This window comes from Homo sapiens, chromosome 13 (genome assembly GCF_000001405.40).
Source record: "Homo sapiens chromosome 13, GRCh38.p14 Primary Assembly".
Classification (NCBI taxonomy): Eukaryota; Metazoa; Chordata; class Mammalia; order Primates; family Hominidae; genus Homo; species Homo sapiens.
Window position 1 is genome coordinate 50,041,072 of NC_000013.11, and position 25,268 is coordinate 50,066,339.

General features: G+C 35.6%; 1 long non-coding RNA gene and 2 other non-coding genes across 9 annotated transcripts in view; all 3 read right to left on the reverse strand.

Annotated features, from left to right (window-relative positions):
* Positions 1 to 25,268, reverse strand: part of DLEU2 (deleted in lymphocytic leukemia 2) — a 142,993-nt gene that overhangs the window by 58,523 nt on the left and 59,202 nt on the right. For 2 of the 7 annotated variants that reach the window (NR_152568.1, NR_152567.1), the window contains 2 exons: positions 8,513 to 8,591; positions 2,365 to 3,697 (listed from right to left, as the gene is read on the reverse strand). The exons of 1 other annotated variant lie outside the window; for it this stretch is intronic. This is a non-coding gene — a long non-coding RNA (deleted in lymphocytic leukemia 2). Of the gene's footprint in view, positions 1 to 2,364; positions 3,698 to 4,046; positions 4,162 to 8,117; positions 8,592 to 25,268 lie in introns of those variants that run through there. 4 more of the 7 variants (NR_152569.1, NR_152570.1, NR_152566.1 and 1 more) reach the window with 3 other exon arrangements.
* MIR16-1 (microRNA 16-1) lies at positions 7,902 to 7,990 on the reverse strand. The gene has a single exon (NR_029486.1). It is a non-coding gene; the product is annotated as a microRNA 16-1 (primary transcript).
* On the reverse strand, positions 8,048 to 8,130 carry MIR15A (microRNA 15a). The gene has a single exon (NR_029485.1). It is a non-coding gene; the product is annotated as a microRNA 15a (primary transcript).

Consider the following 25,268-nt stretch of genomic DNA (forward strand, 5'->3'; position numbering starts at 1 on the left):
AATTATTCTGGTGAATCTATTCAACTATTTGATAATCTTTTACTTATTCAATAATGAACAGCTTTTTAGCTCATTAAATATTCACTTGCTATTTTAAGTAGCTGCACAGTATCCTACTGAACATGTTATTTCATCAGCCTTTTATTATTGAATGCTTTATAAACAATACCATAACAAACATATGGATTACTTCTTTAAAAAGTGTATCTGTTAATTGCTTTTACAATATTGGAAAACTGAGATAATTATTCTTTTAATGTTTATAAATCTTAAGGATATATTGTAACTGGTTCATACATAACTATTTGAAGAATTTAAAAAGTCAACTATATAACTTGTCAGCATAAAATTAATATCTGAACCTTGGGACCTGATGTTTAGGCTACTGTTTTGAAGTTTCTTAAATTTAACTTTTTTTTCATATTGCTAATACATTTAAAAGGTTAACCTATATGAATAAATGAGAAACAATGATAGAAACGTTATATACCTCAGGTGTGCGAAAGTAGAGAAAAAGGTTATGAGCTACAGGTATCATATGTTCATTCCATTGGAAGGATGGTTAATATTAGACTGTTAAGGTCAAGAAACAGTGCACATGAGAAATTCTGCCTTACTAAAAAAAATGTACAGGCATTAGTTGGGGGAGAACTGGAGTGATGAAATGGCATAAATAAAGGCAAAGAGAAAGAAAAATGGATTAGGACTAGTTCATTTGAAGAAAAATTAAACAACATAGAAAATGTTGGGACAAGACCACAAGACATCAAAGAAAGAAATTTAAATTGTATACTATAGGAAAAAAAAAGTTAGGAAGATTAAAAAAGTAGTGTATACTATATAGAAGATGAAATTGTTAGTTTAAAACAGCTAGAGGTGACCCGGGCACGGTGGCTCACGCCTGTAATCCCAGCAGTTTGGGAGCCGAGGTGGGTGGATCACGAGGTCAGGAGTTTGAGATCAGCCTGGCTAACACAGTGAAACACCGTCTCTACTAAAAATACAAAAATTAGCTGGGTGTGGTGGCAGATGCCTGTAATCCCAGCTATGCAGGAGACTGAGGCAGGAGAATCGCTTGAACCCGGGAGGCAGAGGTTGCGGTGAGCTGAGATGGTACCACTGCACTCCAGTTTGAGCAACCGAGTGAGACTCTCAAAAACAACAACAAAAACAGCTAGAGGCAAAGAACTAGTTAAAATGCTGCTAAATAGAAATAAGTGAAAAACAACGAAGTACTTAATTATAGTAGAAATTTCAAGGATGAAGTAATCAAAAACACTGTGGTTCATTTGGGTATATGACAAACATGAGCAAATTCAGTGTTTCTTGGAGTCATTAGTTTTGGATCCACCTAAATTGATCACGCAGAAAACACTTTCAAAGCCATCAATGCAAAATTTGCAAAGTCCTGATCATCACACAATACCTATTAACCCCCCACTTAAACACTGTTTGTATTCTAAGTTGGTCTGATGGGGGGTCTAATCTCAAATCAGATTCATAAAAATATTCTGTCCTATCTGCCGACATCAAATAGGCTAAGGCACATATACCTGTCAAAACTATCTTAAAGAAGTATGAAAAACTGGGCCGGGCTTGGTGGCTCACACATGTAATTCCAGCACTTTGGGAGGCCGAGGTGGGCGAATCACGAGGTCAGGAGTTCTAGAGACCAGCCTGGCCAATATGGCGAAACCCCATCTCTACTAAAAATACAAAAAAATTAGCTGGACATGGTGGTGGGTGCCTGCAATCCCAGCTACTCGGGAGGGTGAAGCAGGAGAATTGCTTGGACCCAGGAGGCGGAGGTTGCAGTGAGCCGAGAATCATGCCATTGCACTCTAGCACGGGCAACAGAGCGACACTCACTCAAAACAAAGTATGAAAAACTGAATCTGTAGCTCAGATATCTTGTAGCTTAAACAGCTACAAGATATGGCCCCTATCAACTCTCTGATCCTATAAGCTACTATTCTTCCTGTTTATATTTGATCACAGCTACATGTGCCTCTTTGCTGTTCCATGTACACACAAAAAATGCTTCAGCCTCAGGGTCTTTGTATTTGCTATTTCATCTGCTCAGAAGGGTCTTCTCCCAGGTACCTACATGGTTTGCTCCCTTATTGTTTCTAGGTCTTTGTTCAAATGTCCTCTCTGTAGGGTAGTTCCTGACCATACTATTTAAAAATATCTCTCTTCTGCCTTACAAACACCTTTATCACATCATTCTCACTTTCCCTGCTTTATTTTCTCCACAGAACTTGTCACTCTCTGACATACCAAATATAGTACCTACCAGCTTTTTTGTCCATTCATTCCATCACTCACTCCTCTACCCCCAAGATTAATAAGCTTCAAGGGGGCTGGGATATATATTTTTTATTAAGTGATAATCTTCAGTACCTAAACAGTAAATAAATGTGTACCTCTCTATATATAAATGTTTCAAATCTATTTTTAATGTTGCTTGTTGAACATTAACATTTTCACACTTCCAGAAATGACATTAATAAAAATATAAACAAATTGATATAAAAATCTGTGTAGACTAAGCTAGAATTTACAAACTCTTAATAAAAGGTGTATTTAAGCTTTCTCAATTATGGGACAACAAATAATAGACTTCATTGCTTCATACTAAAATGGTATTTTTGACTAATCACAAGGAAACTTAAACTACCATATAGTTATAATTATAGGTATTCAGTCCAAAGAGGAAGAAAGTTTTAGTGTTACTATAAGAAGCTGTATCTCTGAAAATGTTAGCTCCATAAGTGTAAGCACTCCCGAAGATTATAAGATAATAAAATATGGAAACAGGCAAACTCTGGGGCGATTTAAAGTTTCTACCACTTCCTAATGATTTTCTTTAATAGAATCATTCGTGCTAAGTGGATAAAAGTTACAAATTACAAAAGAAAGATACAGAATACATCCAATAACAAATTAATCAGACTGAGGAACATTTAGTGTAAAACTGGCTTAAAATTTTTTGTCAGCAGAATTTCTCAACATCTAACCCTATAGCAAATAATACAAATAACAAGGAGATTCTTCAAGCAGTTGGCATTTCTTCAAAACACAAGGGTCCAATTATAAGAAAAATATCACATTATTCAAAGTCCTACAGAATTAGAGGAGAATCTGTACTACTCATATTTTTGCATAAATTCCATGATTTATACATAAACCCAAAATATAAATTATAAACATTTAATTTCAGTATAACGTAGACAAAAACAGCACTAACTTTTCATCTTTCAAAGTAATTTTAACGTAAAAGGTTTAAACATTTATTTTGCCAATATATTTTTCATTTCATATAGGCTTAGAAAAAAAAAAGACATCCGAAATACCTGAGATGTATTTTATAAGTAAACAAAGTAAGAACATAAACTTAAATTTCTGGTGGAGGAGTTAGGTCTTCATTAAAAGGGTTCAAGCTATTAGTAATAAAATGGAAGTTATAAGTAATCCCTTGACATGTGTAAAATAAATTTTTTTAGTAGATGGGAATGTACTGATGATAGTCTCTTATTTCTTCTCCCAGATATGCAAGTGATATAACTAAATACTTACTAGAGCCAAATCTATCTCAAAAGTTTAGGTCATTTTTTTTTCCTTTTTGATAGTATTCAATGAGAAATAACACTTTAAATAAAACTTTTTCCATGAGGAAGGTACAGTAATTATCCACCTGCAAAAGGAAAAAAACACAATTTGATTTAGAATGTCAACTTCTAAATATATAAATATATTAATTTAGAGAAAGAATAGTTTATGAAAGCATAATCTTGCTAATCCAAGTAGGGCTAACTGATGCATGTAACAGTAATGACACTTAGTGGCTTAAAAACACCTATAACTCTATATTAACCAAAAAGATACATAACTGACTGAAGAAAATCTTTAATGTTAAATACGGAATTTAGTCTACAGCTAGGCTAAGTTTTCAAATCTACTATCACATATTAATGTGTGATCTTGAGAGATTTGTACTTGAATATAAGATGCAAATAGAATGACTGAAATACATTTCTTGCTACTTCCTGGATACTCTCCTGTAGTCCTCTGAGTAAGCTCCAAACTCAATCCGTAATCCAAGTAACAGACTTAAGATGTTCAATATTGGAACTCTTTGGCATCAATTAAAAAAGAAACCTAAATGAAAAAGATTAGTATTTTTTTCCAAACAAGAAAAAATGAAAACTTAATATATACCCCTATATAACTATGTGCAGTTTGTTTTGCAAAACAAAAAGCCAAAATAAGATTAACACTAAAAGGTATAAACTTTCATTTTACTGCTGGCTCCTTATGTGTTTCAAAATTATAACTCTACAAATAAAACATCCAGCACTGTTGAGAGTTTCCTAAATGTTATTTTTCATTAGATATCGACAGGCCACCTCCTCTTCTCTAAGAAGAGACTGGAATGTACATACTATAAGTTTTAATGCAACACTTTTCCTATATTTTCTTACTTCTCAAATATTTCAATTTTCCTTTAATTCATTGTCAGGATTAAAAATAAGAAAAGTCTTCATTTAGCTATAAAAGCTGCAAATGATCCTTCATCACACTTAAGAGCACTTAAAGATATAAAGAATCATCTGGTAAATGTAAAATGCAAATTTTTTCTTGTCATTTAGAAGACAGATTGAATATAATTTTCTAAAACCTGACTTCAGATACATTTAGGAATACAAAGAAAAAGAAACAAAAAACACCTAACTCCTGGGTTGTTCTAAAAAATATTAGACAGTATTGGGTAAACTTTGTAATTCATTCAATAAATATTCTAAGCATTTGTGTTAAGTCCTGGAATATTTTTAGTGGAATCAAAAATTATATATTTGGTGAAGTCTTTCATGCAATGGTTGAAAGGAAATAAAACAAGTTAAGAGATTGATAAATGATTTTTAAAAGCACCAAGACAGTGTTTCCATGCAAACGCTGGCATTTAGTTCTATCCACTATGTATGGTATATTGGGAACAAAATATTGCTGGATAAAAAATGAGAACTTTAATATAATATTTGATCTTCAAATTAGAATTTAAACAAAAAGGTCCTTAAGCTTTTGAATACAATTTCTTTTTTGTTGTTGTTGAGACAGTCTCACTGTGTCGCCTAGTCTGGAGTGCAGTGGCATGATCTCGGCTCATTACAACCTCTGCCTCCAGGGTTAAGGCGATTCTGCTGCCTCAGCCTCCCATGTAGCTGGGATTACAGGCCCCGGCCACCATGCCTGGCTAATTTTTGCATTTTTAGTGGAGACGGGGTTTTGCCATGTTCGCCAAGCTGGTCTAGAACTCCTGACCTCAGAGGATCCACCCGCCTCGGCCTCCCAAAGTGCTGGGATTACAGGCGTGAGCCACCGTGCCCAGCCTCGAATACAATCCCCTTTCCCTTTCCCTTTCCCCTTTCCTTTCCCTTTCCCCTCCTTTCCAGGCTGGAGTGCAGTGGCGTGATCTCGGCTCACTGCAACCTCCACCTCCTAGATTCAAGTAATTCTCCTGACTCAGCCTCCTGAGTAGCTGGGATTACAGGCGCGCGCCACCACGCCCAGCTAAGTTTTGTATTTTTAGTTGAGATGGGGTTTCACCATGTTGGTCAGGCTGGTCTCGAACTCTTGACCTTGTGATCCACCTGCCTCAGGCTCCTAAAGTGCTGGGATAACAGGTGTGAGCCACCACGCTTGGCTCAAATACAATTTCTTAAATTACATCTGAAGTACTTCATAAATTTCCAAAATAGACAATTCTGATTGTAAAGGACTAATTAACAACTGCTTTTATTTTGTAGATTTTCTGCATGGTTACAACTGAAAACCCTAACACACTCCTTGTACAAAATAATACCAGAGTTATGACAGACTATGCAAATACACTCATCTTCTCCTGAACATCATTTTTAAGTTTAATGACTTTAAAACACTACAGATAAGGAAAAGAACGTAAATAGAGCATTTCTGTTCAGATTTTTGTTGTTGTTGCCGTTAAGATGGAGTCTCGCTCTGTTGCCCAGACTGGAATTCAAGTGATTCTCCCGGGTTCAAGTGATTCTCCTGCCCCAGCCTCCCAAGTAGCTGGGATTACAGACGCCCGCCACCACACCTGGCTAATTTTTTATTTTTAGTAGAGACAGGGTTTCACCACATTGCCCAGGCTGGTCTCGAACTCCTGACCTCACATGATCCACCTGCCTTGGCCTGAGATTACAGGCATAAGCCACCACCGTGCCCGGCCTTTTGTTCAGATTTTAATTAAATTAGGCCAGGGGTGGTGGCTCATGCCTATAATCCCAGCACAGTGGAAGGCTAAGGCAAGACTGCTTGAGCCCAGGAGTTTGAAACCAGCCTGGGCAGCATAGTGAGACCCTGTCTCTATTTTTATTTATTTATTTAGTTTTAATTTTTACATTTTAATTTATTTTTTTGAGATGGAGTTTCACTCTTGTTGTCCAGGCTGGATTGCAATGGCGCGATCTGGGCTCATTACAACCTCCGCCTCCCCGGTTCAAACAATTCTCCTGCTTTAGTCTCCCGAGTAGCTGGGACTACAGGCATGTGCCACCACGCCCGGCTAATTTTTTGTATTTTTAGTAGAGATGGGGTTTCACCATGTCGGTCAGGTTGGTCTCGAACTCCTGACCTCACGTCATCCACCCTCCTCGGCCTCCCAAAGTGCTGGGATTACAGGCTTGAGCCACTGTGCCCAGCTCTACTTTTCTTTTCTTTTTTTTTTTTTGTTGAGACAGAGTCTCCCTCTGTCACCCAGGCTGGAGTGCAGTGGTGCGATCTCAGCTCACTGGAAGCTCCGCCTCCCAGGTTCATGCCATTCTCCTGCCTCAGCCTCCCGAGTAGCTGGGACTACAGGCGCCCGCCACCACGCCTGGCTATTTTTTTTGTATTTTTAATAGAGATGGGGTTTCACCGTGTTAGCCAGGATGGTCTTGATCTCCTGACCTGGTGATCCGCCTGCCTCGGCTTCCCAAAGTGCGTGAGCCACCGCACCTGGCTGTCTACTTTTATTTTTAATAAAAAATTTTAAAAATACAAAAAAGTAAAAAAAAAAATTAAATTATGTTGACATTTTATATCAATAAAACTACAATGATAATTTGGTCTTACTCTGAGTTAAATCTTGAATACAAAAAAGTAAACAAAGTAAACAAGACCTTATTTTTGACTTATCAAACAAAAATCTTTGGCTAAGGATTTAAGAAAACATTTTAATAAAAACATGAAAAAAATAGTATACCATTATAAAGTTAGAAGACATAAGACTAAGACCCCAATCTGTGATGTGTAGCAAATTATTTGAGTTTTGTGTTTCCTTAGCTATCCAATGAGTGGGTTGGTCACTTGTAAGGGTTTTTCTACCTTTAAAGTTATGGTTAAGTGTGACGTTTTGACAACCAGAATTTTAGGTATTTAATTCACATATTTTGATGGCTTTTCCCCTTCAGATATAAAGAAATATTCAGAAACAGTACTAAATATTGTCTTCTAAGCTCTGTTCAAAATGCTTAATATATTTTATATTTATCTGTAAAGACATATTTTAAAAGTAATTTCAAAACAAAGGGAAAACTAGAATTTGTTTTATCCCAAGTAAAAATCTGAATTAATGTCTATGTTGAATATAAATGTGCATTAAAATAAATTCCTCTAATGCTGCATAAGCTTTTTAAAAAAACTTGATGGCATTCAATACAATTATTAAATTGCAATTACAGTATTTTAAGAGATGATACATCTGAAAAATTAGTATTAATTCATTTTTACAGAATCATACTAAAAATAACAAGATTATCAATAATACTGAAAAGACTATCAATAAAACTGAAAACACATTAGTAACATTAATATACATTAAAACACAACTGTAGAGTATGGTCAACCTTACTTCAGCAGCACAGTTAATACTGGAGATAATTTTAGAATCTTAACGCCAATATTTACGTGCTGCTAAGGCACTGCTGACATTGCTATCATAAGAGCTATGAATAAAAAGAAATATATTTTCTTCAGAAGATCAGATCCTTGTATTTTTGAGGCAGCACAATATGGCCTGCACCTTTTCAAAATCCACAAACCATTATGTGCTGCTACTTTACTCCAAGGTTTTATTTTTTTTAAACACACATTCGCGCCTAAAGAATATAAAAAATATTTTCTTTCAGGAAAAAAAGAATGCATGTAAAAAAATCTATGTTTAAACATTATAACATTGATGTAATATGCATAATTATTTTTAAGGAGATTTTAAGTAGAATAATAAAACATTTCTACATCAAAAACTTAACTGAAGTCCATTCTGTGCCCAGCACAGTGCTATAGGTTAGGAAACACAAAGAATAAAATGAGGAAAAGAAAAGCATTTATTTGCTATGCCAACTTAACAGGGCAATACAACTAAATGCTTAAACTTTTGAATATATTCAATATATGAAGTTATTTTTCCTTGTATAAACAAACAAGTAAATTTATAAAATTTGATCTTTACCTTGGTAAAAGGAGAATTTACAAACATTTTGTTCCTTGCAGTACACCTTTCAAAAGACATCTTCATCAAATAGGTAAGACTTCACATCAAGGGAAAAACATGAAATGACATACAAGAGCTCAGTTTCAATAAACTTAAGCTAGCAAAATGCAAATATACTTTTAAAGAAAAATACTTTAATTCTAAATGTTAATTTTATTAAATATCTAATTAAGACATTTTAATTCCAAATATAGTTAAGAAAAAAAGCTCTAAACAAACTAATTCTCCCTTAAATAATTTGTTATTAATAATCTAAATATTTTACTTTCAACATTGATCTTCATACTAGAAGTTCTCTTAGAGTTGGATATCATTTGATACAGTAATTCTAAAATATGAATCCTTAAGTAATTCTAAAATATGAATCCTTGGGATGATGAGTTAATTTGGTACCCTGAGATGAGAAATAAAACAAATCCCATAGCTCTTAATCTTCCTATTCCCTGTTTCTGGCCCATTTACCAGGTAAGGAAGAAACTCCTAGTTTCCACTTTCTCAGATGTAGAAATGAAATTCCTTTTCTCTAAAAGATATCAGAAAATTGCCACCACTCTAGTGGTGCCACCATTCAAGCCTGGACAATCTTTTTTGCCCCATGTTCTCATCATTAAAATGACTATGCTAAAGTTACATCTATTACAGAATAGTAAGGTGATGTACACAACCAAAGCACTAAAATTTGCTCTTCCATTCTAATATCTAATTACTTATACAAAGCACAGGGTCACATTCCATATGAAATTTTTCTGAGTATTTTTCCCATTAATAAAAAATATATGTAGCTAATCTCCTATCTAAGCAACCTGGATTTCACATATAACTCTGCTCCTTATTGTCTCAAGTTTCTGCACAACGTTTTTTAAATTTTTATTTTTTCTTTTTTTAAGAGAGTAGTTTCCGTATCTTTTAGAGAAAAAGAAATTCATTTCTACATCTGAGTAAGTGGAAACTTTAGGAGTATACTTCCTTACCTGGTAAATGGACCGGAAATAGGTAGGGAATAGGAAGATCAAGAGCTACAGGATTTGTTTTACTTCTCATCTCAGGGTACTCTGTTGCCCAGGATGGGGTACAGTGCCATGATCGTAGCTCACTGCAGCCTTGACCTCCTGGGCTTAAGTGATCAGTCCACCTTAGCCTCCCAAGTAGCTGGGACTACAAGTGCACACACCACCATGCACAGCTCTTTACATTTTTATTTTATTGTAGAGACAAGGTCTTGCTATGTTGCCTAGGATGTCTTGAACTCCTGGCCTCAAGCAATCCTCCTGCCTTGGCCTCCCAAAGTCCTAAAATTACAGGCAAGAGCCACCATGCCTGACCTGCACTTTTTTTTTATTTTTTGAGACGGACAGGGTTTCACCATGTTAGTCAGGCTGGTCTTGAACTCCTGACCTCAGGTGATCCACCTGCCTTGGCCTCCCAAAGTGCTGAGATTACAGGGGTGAGCCACTGCGCCCATCCTGACCTGCACAATTTTTAACATGTAACCAAGATAAATCCGTTTGCATTCACTTGAGAAATATATAACATATATTTGTATTTATCAATTATATTAAGGAATTGTCCTTCAGGGTCCCCCTCATCACATACATTTTCCAGATAAAAACTTAAACATAATTTTTTTCAAATATAAAAGGTGCCTGTAAATTATTTAACAAATATTTTATTGAATATCTACTATGTGCCAGGCACTGTCCCAGTTATTACACTAGTTGGTAGTATACCAGATAGACAGTCTCTTTTCAGAAAGAGTAAAGTCATTTTAAGACAACTTAAAGTGAAGGATCTTAAGCTGAAGAATTTAGTGCCAGCAAAGGATGGTTTGAGTTTCAGAAAGACGTTTGGTTTTAAAAATGTCAAGATAACAGGAGAAGCGGCTTTGAGGCAGCAGATGAGTTCCCAGACACCATTAAGAAAATCGCTGGGGAGAAAGGACAGGTTTTTTTTTTTTTTTTTTTTGAGATGGAGTCTTGCTCTGTCGCCCAGGCTGGAGTGCAGTGGTGCCATCTAGGCTCACTGCAAGCTCCGCCTCCTGGGTTCATGCCATTCTCCTGTCTTAGCCTCCCGAGAAGCTGAGACTACAGGCGCCTGCCACCACGCCTGGCGAATTTTTTGTATTTTTAGTAGAGACGGGGTTTCACCATGTTAGCCAGGATGGTCTCAATCTCCTGACCTCGTGATCCGCCTGCCTCGGCCTCCCAAAGTGCTGGGATTACAGGTGTGAGCCACCATGCCCAGCCCAGGATGGGTTTTTAATGCTGATAAATATGCCCTATTCTGGAAGAAAATGCCACAAAGGACATTTATTAGTAAGGAAGAAAAGCAAGCACCAGGATTTAAGGCAGGAAGAGATAGGCAAACTCTACTGTTCTGTGCAAATGCAGTCGGTTTGCTGCCCTTAGCCATAAAGCTGCTAATCCCTGAGCCTCAAAGGGAAAAAACACCAGCAGCCAGTCTTTTGGTTGTACAACAAGAAGGTATGAACGAGAATGCTTTTTCTGGATTGGTTCCATCAATGCTTTGTTCCCAAAGTCAGGAAGTACCTTGCCAATAAGGGACTGCCTTTTAAAGTTCTTTTGATATTGGACAATACTCCCGGCCACCCAGAACCACAAGTTCAACACCAAAAGCACTGAGGTGGTCTACGTGCCCCCACACAATGTCTTTATTTCATCCTCTGTATTAGGGTCATAAGGACCTTTACAGCTCATTATACATTGTACTCTGTGGGAATGACTATCAACGCTGTGGAAGAGAACCCTGATAGAATAACATGAAAGTCTGGAAGAATTACACCACTGATTATGCCACTGTTGTTACAGAAAAAGCTGTGAATGCCATCAAGTCTTAAACACATTCCTGGAGAAAACTGTGTCCAGATGATGTGTATGACTTCACAGGATTTATGACAGAGACAATCGAGGAAATCATGAAAGAGACTGTGGTTATGACAAAAAAAGGTATGGTTGGGGAAGGCCGAAGGGTTTCAAGATATGGATCTTTGAGAAATTCAACAGCTAACAGACACCACACCATAGAAATTAACAGACAACTTGATCGAGATGATCGGTTCTGCACTAGTGCCAGATGATGAGGAAGACAACATAGAAGCAGTGCCAGACATATACTGCTGGCACTGACATTAGAGAGTCTGGCAGAAGGGTTGCAATTATTCAAGACTACTTTTGATTTCTTTTATGACATGGACTCTTCTATAATATGGGCACTGAAACTAAAGCAAAAGGTGGACAGACGATTGTTAATATATAAAAACACTTTTTAGAAAAATAAAAAAAGCAAAAAAGTCAGGCAGAAATTACGATTATTTCTGTAAAGTTACACCAACTGTGCCTGGCCTTTCCTGCCTCCTCTCCCACCTCCTCCACCTCTTCCACTCCAGAGACAGCAAAACCAACCCCTTTTCTTCCTCAGCCTGCTCAATGTGAAAACAGTGAAGATGAAGGCCTGTATGATGATCCACTTCCATTTAATCAATAGTAAATATATTTTCTTTAGCTTACTTTAATATGGTATATGATATGCATAACATACAGAATATGTTATTGACTTTATGTTATTGGTAAGGCTTCTGGTCAACAGTAGGCTATCTGTAGTTGAGTTTTAGGGAAGCCAAAAGTTATACATAGATTTTCAACTGCATGGGGATTGGCGCCTCTAATCCTCACATTGTTCAAGGGTCAATTGTATTTTTAAAATTGTGGTTCAATATACATAAAAGTCACCATTTTAACCAGTCTTAAGTGCATGCTTCTGTGGTATAAATATGTTTGCCCTGTTGTGCAACCCTCCATCTCCAGAACTTTTTCATCTTCCCCAAGTGATACTGCTTAAACACTAACTGTCCATCTCCTCTGCCCCTCAGCCTCAGGAAATCACCATTCTACTTTCTGTCTCTATGAATTTGCCTATTCTAGTTATCTCATGTAAGTGGAATCATACAGTATTTGTCCTTTTGTGTCTGGCTTACTTCACTTAGCATAACTTTTTCAAGATTCATCCATGTTGTAGCATGCAACAAAATTTTCCTCTTTACAGTTGAATAGTTTTCCATTGTGTGTGTATACATTTTGTTTGTCCATTCATGTGATGATGGGCATTTAGGTTGTTTCTGTCTTTGGACTATTATGAATAATGCTGCCATGAACATGGTGTACAAATATCTTTGAAATCCTTCTTTCAATTATTTTGGGTATATGTCCAAGTGGAATTGCTGGATCTTACAGTAATTCTATTTTTCATTTTTTTGAGAAACTGCCATACTGTGTTCTACAGTGGCTACAGCATTTTACATTCTCACCAGCAATTTACAACTTCTCCCATCGTTGCCAACATGTTATTTTCTGTTTTTGTTTTTGATAATAGCCATTCTAATGAAAATGAAGTGGTATCTCATTGTGGTTTTCACTTCCATTTTCCTAATGAATAGTGATGTTGAGCATCTTGTGTTTGCTGGCCAATTGTATATCTTCTTTGGAGAAATGTCTATTTAAGTCCTTTGCCCATTTTTTGACTGGGTTGTTTACTTTTTATTGAGTTTATACATTCTGGATATTAATCTCTTATTAGATACATGATTTGCAAATATTTTCTCTGATTCTGTGGACTGACTTTTCACGGTAATAGTGTCCTTTGATGCACAGAAGTTTAATTTTTTTTTTTTTGAGATGGAGTCCCATTCTGTTGCCCGGGGTGGAGTGCAGTGGCACAATCTCGGCTCACTGCAATCTCCGCCTCCCAGGTTCAAGCAATTCTCCTGCCTCAGCCTCCCGAGTAGCTGGGACTACAGGTTCCCGCCACCATGCCCGGCCAATTTTTGTGTTGTTTCACCACGTTGGCCAGGCTGGTCTCAAACTCCTAACTTGGTGATTCACATGCCTCGGCCTCCCAAAGTGCTGGGATTACAGGTGTGAGCCACGGTGCCTGGCCAGAAGTTTTAAATTTTGATGAAGTCCAATTGATCTACTTGTTTTGTCTGTGCTTTTGGTGTCATATCTGAGAAATCACTGCCAAATCCAATGTCTTGAAGCTTTTGCCCTTTGTTTTCTTCTAAGAGTTTTGTATTTTTTAACTCTTATGCTTAGGTCTTTGAGTTAGAAATTAATTTTTAGTTACTTTTTGTATATGGTGTATGGTAAGGATCCAACTTTGTTCTTTTCTGGTGTGGATATCCAATTTTCCCAATACCGTTTGTTGAAGAGTCCTTTCTTTACTGAATGAGGATCTTTGGTACTTCTTGGCACCTTTGGTGAAAATCACTTGAAAATATATGCAAGGGTTTATTTGTGGGCCCTCGGGTCTATTTTCATGAATCTCTATGTCTAGCTTTATGCTTTGTAGGAGGTTTTGAAATCAGGTAGTGAGACCTCCGACTTTCTTTTTAAAATTTGTTTTGGTTATTTCATGTCCTTTGAGATTCCATATGAATGTGAGAATAAATTTTTCCCATTTCTGTTAAACAAAATTTAGGATTTTGATAGGAATTGCATTCACTTTGTAGATCATTTTGGGTAGTACTGTCATTTTAACAATATTAAGTCTTCCAATCCATAAATGTGGGATGCCTTTCCATTTATTTATTGTCTTTAATTTCTTTCAGCAATTTTTTTTTGTAGTTGCTGTACATAAGTCTTTTACCTCCTTGGTTACGTTTATCCCCAAATATTTTATTCTTTTTGATGTTTTATAAATGGAATTGTTTTAATTTCCTTTTTGAATTGTACATTGTTAGTGAACAGACACACGATTGATTTTTGTGTGATTTTGTATCATACAACTTTGTTAAATTCATTAGTTCTAACCGTTTTTGGTGGAATCTTAAGGGTTTTCCAGATACATGATTGTGTCATCTGTGAAGAGATAATTTTTCTTTACTATTATCTTTTGTAACTAAAATTGGTTTAAGGGCTTTCTGGCAATCTCGGTCCATTCATTCTCTAATTCTCCTAGAAACACATCAGACAGCTGTGTCCCCTCTCTTCTTTCAAACTTCCAACACTTTCCCTTTCATTTTTACTTTCACTGAGAAAACAGAAACTATCAGAAATTTCCTCAGTTCCCACCAAATCTAACATGTATCTGTGTGCATACAACTCTTACTTCTTTCTAGTATCAATGAACCCTCACTGTTCATAAGACAAATTCCTTCTCTTTGATCTTCACTTACTTACTTAAGGATATTCCTTTAGATATTCTCCTGCATCTTTAATCTTCCTCTCTGTTGCATGATTCTTATCAGCAAAAGTGCTACAATTTATCTCAGCATAATTTTATCTCTTAAAGACTGTTGCTATCTGTAATAACACTGCAATTTTATCACTGATGTTTTAGTAAACCACCATGGAGGAAGACTTTTTCCTTGTCTATTTTCCTTTTATTTCTAACTATCTGATTTATATTTGAAAGCCTGAAACATTTGAACTATTAAAATATTTATTATAATTCTCCAGAAAAAAATATGAAAATTCTTGATTTAAATGTATTAACAAATTGAAAGATTCAGTGGAACAATTCCAAGCACATAGAGAGGATATATCTCTTTCTTTTCTTGTGTTCGATAATAATAATCTCCTCCCAGTGTGGTATGGTTTGATTTTTCCTTTCCACTTATCTTCGCCTTAGGGGCTGCCAAAGTAGGTTTTATACTATGCCTTCAAAAAGGGACTATTTTAAATTTAAAATTTCCTTGAGTCTATAAGTTTAGACTATTTCTACTCACATGATAGGGATATTCAGATACTAATACATGCCATCAATATGGTTTTGCTAGTTTGTTGTTTAGACATGTCCTTGTATGGCACTATGTTACTTTAGGTTTTCTGAACATTTAATTTTACTTTCAATCCAGCATCAACACAATCTGTAATGGTAATTACTTCCTCCAAATATGCCTTACTTCTATTCTGCACTTGAAGCTCTAAGGAACTGTGTATATACAGTGCCTCGGCCACAGAATGACTATCCTTGCTCAATGACAGTGGAATAATACACAGTATGTCAGTATTATACCAGACAGAAAATTTATAAATAGCTATTCTTCAATACCTTTACGTAAAGGCCTGAGTTATGGGGTCTAAAATAAATGCATGACAATTTCACTAAACATGGTAATTTTTTTTTTTTTTTTAAGACAGAGTCTTCTTTTGTCACCTAGGCTGGAGTACAGTAGCGTGATCTCAGCTCACTGCAACCTCCTTCTCCCAGGCTCAAGCTATCCTTCCACCTCAGCCTCCCAAGTAGCTGGGACTACAGGCCTGTGCCACCACGCCCAGCTAAGGTTTGTATTTTTTTTTTTTTTACAGACGTGGTTTCATCATGTTGGCCAGGTTGGTCTCAAACTCCTGGCCTCAAATGATCCTCCCGCCTTGGTGTCGCAAAGTGCTGGGATTACAGGTATGAGCCACCATGCCTGGCGAAACATGGTAATTTTTTTATTACCCTACTATGAAGTCTTATAAAGTGTCCAAATATATAACATTTACAGGAAAGATTAAAATGTGCTTTTGCTTGATTCTTGTTTCTGGAATATAAATACTTAAAAACAAAAAGGCTCTATTAACTAGAGAAGATAGCTTTAAAATTCAGTGTTAGGAATACGCATTCAATAAAATAATAATCAGATTTAATCCAACATGACTGTTTTATAATATAAAAAACCTAGTTGTTGAGTTTAGGCAAATATAAAGTTTTACTGTTTCTAAACTGCCTTGATTTCTTCTGATGAAAAAATGACTGAAAGATTGCTTAAAAACTGTGTATGAAGTAGATTTCAATCTGGAAAATTTATTCCAGAAAGTCAGACTATATATATAAGCCCCCCAAATGTTATTTTAATATTAGATTCTCTTATAATCATTTCCTTATACAAAAAGTTAAACTTCTTAGAAATCAAACATTCATATTTTATTTGATGACTTTACTTCCTAAATACTAAGTATGACTAAATTACAAATATATCATGTTAGTCAAGAAATGCAATATAAAAAGGTTTGATAAATATGCTATTTACATTTTTTCTTACATTCTTCTTTTGCTCCCTTTTATGTCCTAATCATTCATACTTGCCCATTGTTATTCTTTCTTAACACTCAATTTTCATCTTGTGTCAATCATCCCTTGTATTCAGCTAGTCAATAAAATGAATTGATTCTTTAAGACCTCAGTTCATTGATTTCTTCGCCATTCTTGATTTCATACCTTAAATCTGGATTTAAGTACCTTATAAATCCAATTGCATTTTAGCTGGACCTCCTAGTCCTTAATCAATTAATAAATCTTCCCAAAGTTACATATTCAAGAATGTATCTAGGCTGGACGAGGTAGCTCATGCCTGTAATCCCAGCACTTTTGGAGGCTGAGGTCGGAGGATTGCTTGAGCCCAGGAATTTGAGAGACCAGCCTGGGCACCATAGCAACACCCCATCTCTACAAAAAAAAATTATTATTATTATTTTTTAACTTTTATTTTAAGTTCAGTGGTACAACTGCAGGTTTGTTATGTAGGTAAACTTTTATCATGGGAGTTTTTTTTTTTGTTTGCTTTTTTTTTTTTGAGACAGAGTTGCACTCTGTTGCCCAGGCTGGGGTGCTGTGGCTCAATCTCGGCTCTCTGTGACCTCCACCTCCCAGGTTCAAGTGATTCTCCTGCCTCAGCCTCCCGAGTAGCTGGGATTACAGGCCAGCGCCACCAAGTCGGGCTAACTTTTTTGTATTTTTAGTAGAGATGGGGTTTTGCCATGTTGGCCAGGCTGGTCTTAAACTCCTGACCTCAAGTGATACACCCACCTCAGCCTCCCAAAGTGCTGGGACTACAGGCGTGAGCCACCATGCCAGGCCTGTCATGGGAGTTTGTTGCACAGATTATTTCGTTACCCAGGTATTAAGCCTAGTACCCATTAGTTATTTTTCTTGGTCCTCTCCATCCTCCCACCCTCTATCCTCCAAAAGGCCACAGTGTGCGTTGTTCCCCTCTATGTGTCCATGTGCTCTCATCATTTAGCCACCCCCACACAAAAAATTTAAAAATCAGCTGGGCATCTGTAATACCAGCTACTCAGGAGCTGAAGTGGGAGGAATCACTTGAGCCCAGGAGTTTGATGCAGCACTGAGCCATAATCATGCCACTGCACTGAACTCCACTCCAGCCCAGGTGACAGAGCAAAACCTTGTTTCAAAAAAAAAAAAAAAAAAAGTAATTTCTAGTTTCCTAAGTAGAATCTCTACTTTCTGCCTAAGTATCAAGGTCTGTATAATTAAGATCTATCCAATGTTTCCTGCTTTTCTCCAAAGAAAACACTTCCATTCCAGTTAAATGGTCTCTTTTAAGACATTAACAACCACTAAGAACCTTTGAATACAGAAAATTATTCTCATTATTAGGTACTGTGTTGGGCAGATAACTGGTTCCCTATTCCATACTTATCTCTCCATTCAAAATGGACTAGCTGTGAGGAAATCTTTACTAGTATAGACCATGCCATTTCTTCAATCCTTTATCTTAGTCCACTGGAAATATCATCATGACTCCATCCCTTAAATCTCTGCTTTTACGTTTGCTGGCTGAAAGAAAAGCCACTTTGCCTAACCAGATACAGAAAGAGCCCTAATGGCTAGATGTAGAGCCAAAGAAAAGAGCTTCTAAAAAAAAAAATACAAAAATATTCTGAAGACAGAATCATTCAGTCCTTATCCTTTACACAACAACCATAGTTCCAAGTCTGGTGGTTTATATTCTGGGCTGTGGGCCTTTGATATACCAGAACTCTCCATTCTTATAATCTTCCAACAAAAAAAAAGTAGTTATATTGAAAGGTGAGACAAAATAAGTAAATTAAATGTCTTGCTTAATAATTCAACTTGAATATAATAAATCTGAGTAGATGGGAATCTTTAAATCTCTTAAGTTGGTTTTCTATGTTAGAATTTAATATATTTTAAGAAATATGGAAAAAATAAATTGTATATAAGTTAATGTTTTTTCCTTGTTAATGATTTACAGCTCTAATTTTATTTCCAATAACATTTTTTAGACATTTTCTTACATGTGCTCTATTATCAGTTCATCTGTAGTTTACATAAAGTTGTTATTGCATTTAACAAAATCATTTAGAAATTCTTTTTATTTATTTATTTCTGTCCTTACAATCTGTTCTCATTGAAATTCTAGTCATGTCTCCTAAACTACAGAATCATCCTCAGTACAATAAATCTACTGGTCAATTTCTACATTTTAAACTTACTATCAGTAAAATAAACAGCAGAAATTTATACAAGCACATCTAGTAGTGAACAGGTGTTCAACAAATGCCTACTGAATCTAAATTTACAGGATTTGAAATTCTAACACACTTAAGTGTTTCAGTGAACTGCAGCTCAACATGACCCGATAGTATTGATGAAAAAAAAAGCTAGTGCAATCAGACTGCACTATAGAACTTTATTCATAGATGCAGTGTGTTTTGTACCTATACTACATTAAGTATATTGCAATTAATTCTAAATACAATTATTTAAAAAGGAATACTAACAAAATGTAACAGATCCAAAGTAGGGTATCCAGAAAATATTGGTCTAGAAATTAATATGGTCTAGAAAAAATATGGTCTAGAAATTAATGCTATATGGCAACAGTGGAAGGACCTCAGAATGTACAGCTTAGAGAAAAGACATAAAAACAATTTTTAGACAGTAGATCTAGGGCCAGAGAACAAAGTTATAAACAGATCTTCAAATGATGTTTCATTCAACATTGTTTCATTTTTAATACTGAAGAGGAAAAATATAGAGATTTCTGTCTGGGGCCACAGTGTGTGGAGTTTCCACGTTCTCCCCATGTCTGCATGGGTTTTCTCCCACATCCCAAAGATGTGCATGTTATGTTAGTTAGCACATCTAAATTGTCTCAGTATGGCTGAGTGTCGGGGTAGGAGGACACCCTGTGATAGAATGGCATCCTATCCAGGGTTGGTTCCCACCTCGCATCCTGAGCTTCTAGGATAGGCTCCAGCCACCTGCAACCCCAAAGTGGAGTAAGTGGGTTGGAAAATGAATGAATGTAAATTACTGCAAAATAAAAACTTGTCAAATATACAATCATCATACAAATGCACAACAACAAATGATGTAGTATGAAAGTGCTCAGCAAGCATGCCATATTTGTTATTGCTTGTTTTTGAACAACATGGTAGTAGAAGGTGCTCCTTACAATTTCTGCTTTACAAACATTTATTCCTTATTTTAACTCACCACCACTATGACCATCATCGCTGACTCATCAAAAATTGGGTAAATGATGATCTTGTTTCTATTAAACTTTCTTAAATGTATGTTTAACTCACATTTATTTCACAATGTTTAATACCAGAAATGTGTTGGATCTTTATTTAGAAGGTGATGTTCTTTGTGACCAGAAATAGGCTATAGGAACTTAACTCTTGTTTATATCAATTAGCCTATGGTGAAACTGGTTTTATTCTATGTCATTTAGCTTAAAGCTGCAGTTTCCAAGAATCTATTCATTACTTTAAGTGAGGACTTACTGTACTAAGTTGAAACCTGCCCTCTGATGAGAAACTTATTTTATGTTAATTAACATAAATGTAATTTATAACGTAAAGGAAAACATTTGTTTACTATGATTCTAATTCTAATATTCTAGGGTCAAAATAAAATTAATAAAGTTCAATTTAAAATAAAATTGACTTAGAAAAATTTAGTGTACTTTACTTATTTTGTCTTGTTAAGGATTTGGAGGACAGATTGCCAGTTTTAAGTTCCGACTACAGGGCACCAAATACTAGAGGCATAAAGAAACAGCTGAACTAAGGATATAAAAACTAAAAGTAATAATTTAAAACTGAGGTGTACTGAATTTTAATTCAGATATTGTTTCCCTAAACACTTTATTTATTTTTTTGAGATGGAGTCTCGTGCTGTTGCCCAGGCTGGAGTGCAGTGGTGGGATCTCGGCTCACTGCAGCCTCCACCTCCCAGGTTCAAACTATTCTCTCACCTCAGCCTCCCAAGTAGCTGGGATTACAGGCACTTGCCACCATGACTGGCTAATTTCTGTATTTTTAGTAGAGACGAGGTTTCACCATGTTGGCCAGACTGGTCTTGAACTCCTGACCTGAAGTGATCCACCCGTCTCGACCTCCCAAAGTGCTGGGATTACAAGTGTGAGCCACCATGCCCAACTGTTTCCCTAAACATACTTTTTGAGATGGAGTCTCGCTCTTAGTTGCCTAGGCTGGAGTGCAGTGGCTTGATTTTGGCTCACTGCAACCTCTACCAGCATACATGCTATTCTCCTGCCTCAGCCTCCCCAGTAGCTGAGATTACAGGCACCCGCCACCATGCCTGGCTAATTTTTCTATTTTTAGTAGAGACTGGGTTTCACCATGTTGGCCAGGCTGGTCTTGAACTCCTGACCTCAAGTAATCCACCTGCCTCAGCCTCCCAAAGTGCTGGGATTACAGGCATGAGCCACCATATCTGGCCTCCCCAAAAATTTTAAACTGAGGTTCTGAAATTTGACCAGTGGTAGAGTACTTGAAAGGATGGCATTCTTAGTGGTAATACTGTTAAATGTATCAAAACTTCATTTTCATTAGCTACAAATAGTTTTACTATAAGAAACAGATTTTATAAGACATTTTAAAGTAACTTGTTTTTTTCTTTTTATTTTCTTTTTGAGATGGAGTCTTGCTCTGTCACCCAGGCTGGAGTGCAATGGTGCAATCTCAGCTCACTGCAACCTCTGCCTTCCAGGTTTAAGCAGTTCTCCTGCCTCAGCCTCCTGAGTAGCTGGGATTACAGGTGCACGCCACCATGCCTGGCTAATTTTTGTTATTTATTTATTTATTTATTTATTTATTTATTTATTTATTTATTTATTTTTGAGACAGAGTTTCACTCTTTCGCCCAGGCAGGAGTGCAGTGACGCGATCTCGGTTCACAGCAACCTCTGCCTTCTGGTTTCAAGCAATTCTCCTGCCTCAGCCTCCCAAGCAACTGGGACTACAGGTGCCGGCCACCATGCCCGGCTAATTTTTGTATTTTTAGTAGAGACAGGTTTTCACCATGTTGGACAGGCTGGTCTCGAACTCCTGACCTCATGATCTGCCCACCTCAGCCTCCCAAAGTGCTAGGATTACAGGCGGGAGTCACTGCACCCAGCCAAAGTAACTTGTTTTAATGGAAAAACAAGCATAAATTAATTTAGTGGATATAACAGGAAAAATGAAGCTTATAGTCTAGGCAAAAAGGTGTGATAATTGACAACATATATTTTAATTATGCATTCAATTTATTCCTCTTTTACATAGAGATTAAATTTAAAAACTCAAGTTTCAGACTAATAGGTAGTAGATTAGGGCAAAAGTACATAGAATAAGTCAGGGGATGTTACTTATTGCATTTATAACTTGAAATCCCCATGACAGCAGAGTTGATTATATCTGTACATTTATTTTCTATTTAAATCAGGCCCCATGCTGTTAAATTCTACCTTTTGTTTTCCTAAGAAAACAACCAAGTAACTTCATACTAAGAAATTCCCTATTATTCCTCTTTGAATCATCCATCTTGAAGGTAAGAAGTTGTTCAGGTTGAGGAAACAAGCCCAACCCCTTTTTATAATTTTGGCACTAAAAATCAAATTTTATGGTGCAATTTTATTAAGAGCGAAAACACAGCCATCGCTTAAGCATAAAAGCTCATATTTAACTCAATTATTTTGCTAAACATATATAAGACAAATATGGAAGAATGAGGACAAGGAACACCTGGCATTTTTATTAAATGTCTAATTCTCAAAAATAGCAATTATTTGAACAATGAAAAACAGCTGCAGCATATTGTGAACTTTCTCTATATTCATAAATTATAGAATACATAAGAGCCTAGATTTTATATATTTACTAAATTAATGGCACTTCATCATATCAATAGGTTTATAAGACATTCTCTTTACTACCAAATGCTGACAATAGCTGGTACCTTTATGAATTTTTTGGGTTATAACACTCTTTCACCACTAATCCAACTGCCAAAAGAGCAATTTATTTTTTCTCTTTTGGGGAATTCCTTTCTCCCAGAAACATTCCCATTTTTAAAACTATTCAAGATAATTAGAATTTCCTCATCAGTGACACAGGTATACAGCAATTTACACAAGAGTAAATTTCTATCACAATAATTAAAAATAAGAGAAACTTTGGCTATGTCTAGTGCATAATATAATTACATCATTATGGTTTTATTGAAAGCACAACAGATTTTATATCATTTGCCATATATCAATTACTTACTGCTCCACTGATAAAAACATTGATTTTTTTTGCAGTATTTTCAGTCAGTCCTACGTTTGTACATTTTATAATTTACAATTGACAATATTTTCTAGGCTGATGATTACATACCATTGCTTTTATTGCTAACCTGATAATACTTCTAAAAACTTATATTGATAACTAGTCATATGTGAGAAATAGTTTTTGTTATTTCTTTTTACTAGGCTTGCTCTTGATAGCAGCCAAATTTAATAAGTCTTTGGAATTAGGAAGTAATTTATCTCTATCATTTTTGTTTATGGAACTAACATTGACAGCACTGGTGAATATTCTGCTTCATCTTTTCTTTCCCTATTTATAAAGTCAATGTTTTAAGATTTTTATTGTAGATTATTAAAAAGAGAGATGTAATATTCTTAACTGCTGACAATGTTTTGAGATTTTTTTAAGCACCAAATATATATTTAAATTTACATAACAGATGTCAACATGTATTTACATTTGCAGGTAAACATATGTTTACATTTACAAACAGAAATATATAATTTAAGTGTCTGTATTCGAAAATGCAATGTGAAAAATAAAAATAATTCAAAAAAGAAAAAGAAATAAAGACATATAATTATTTCTGAATTTTTTGTTAAGCAGCGAAAGTTTAAGATCTCTAAATTGAAAAATAAACTTGAAAAATACTCCATCTCTATATTTAATTTGTAAAAATGAACCCCAAACTGCCATTGTTTGACAGGATTGTATACATGAACATCACTGTTCTACAACTTCTAGAACATCCACATTCCACAAATGAACAGCTTTAAAAAAAATCCCATCTTAGGCAGGGCAAGGTGGCTCACGCCTGTAATCCCAGCACTTTGGGAGGCTGAGGCGGGCAGATCACCTGAGGTCAGGAGTTCGAGACCAGCCTGACCAACACAGAGAAACCCTGTCTACACAAAAACAAAAAACAAAAAACAAAATTAGCCAGGCGTGGTGGTGCATGCCTGTAACCCCAGCTACTCAGGAGGCTGAGGCAGGAGAATCACTTGAACTTGGGAGGTGGAGGTTGTGGTGGGCCGAGATCATGCCATTGCACTCTAGCCTGGGCAACAAGAGCGAAACTCCATCTCAAAAAAAAAAAAAAAAGAAAATACATCTATCTATCTAGATATCTAAAATCGATCTATATATAGATATCTAAAATATATCTATATATGTAAATATATATTATATATAAAATATATGTAAATATATATTATATGTAATATATATTATATATAATATATGTAAATATATATTATATATATGTAAATATATATTATATATAAAATATATATTATATATATGTAAATATATATTATATATAACATATGTAAATATATATTATATATGTAAATATATATTATATATAACATATGTAAATATATATTATATATGTAAATATATATTATATATAACATATGTAAATATATATTATATATATGTAAATATATATTATATATAAAATATATGTGTGTATATATATATATATCCCATCTTTTTTTTTTTTTTTTTTTTTTTTTTTTTTTTTTTTTTTGAGATGGAGTCTCACTCGGTCGCCCAGGCTGGAGTGCAGTGGTGTGATCTCGGTTCACTGCAAGCTCTGCCCTCCGGGTTCACGGCATTCCCCTGCCTCAGCCTCCTGAGTAGCTGGGACTACAGGCACCCGCCACGACGCCCAGCTAATTAAAATATATATCCCATCTTAAAAAATAAATGGCATTAAACAAACATTAAAAAAATGATAGAAGGGGAACACACAATCACACACAGCATCACTGACTATTGCCAGTCACTATGTACCTATTATTCTGGGTATTGTTTAATTGGAAACATCACCATTTTAGAATCTAAGATTAAGGGGAATCTACCTAGAACAGACAACAGAAAGCATTCCAACTATGAAATATGATAAATGGCCTATGTTTAAAAGATGCTGGAGAGTATCCAAGAAAGACTGCTAGCTTAGAAATTTATAAAGGAGATGAAATGAAGAATGTGATATTATCTGTGCTTATGTATCTGTTAGAATTCAATGATACCTATTTCTTGTTGAAAAGTGGACTGCCCTCCATTCTGAGTGTAGTACGAATTAAAAAGACTTCTTTTTTTAAAGAGTTAAGTTGAAGAAGGGCTGAGCTGGCTTCCAAGGCACTAATTAAGGAATCCAAGCCTGTACTATATAGGATTCTTTAGGGATCTGCAGATATTTCCATTCTAATTTTCCAGAGACAAAAATGTAACCGGGAGAAAATTAGAAAAAGAAAGTGACCTGTGGCATTTGACTACTACTTTGCAAACTGGCTTATTATTAACAGTTTTCAACATTTAATTGATCCCCCACTTAAAAATTCTCACCTTATTGA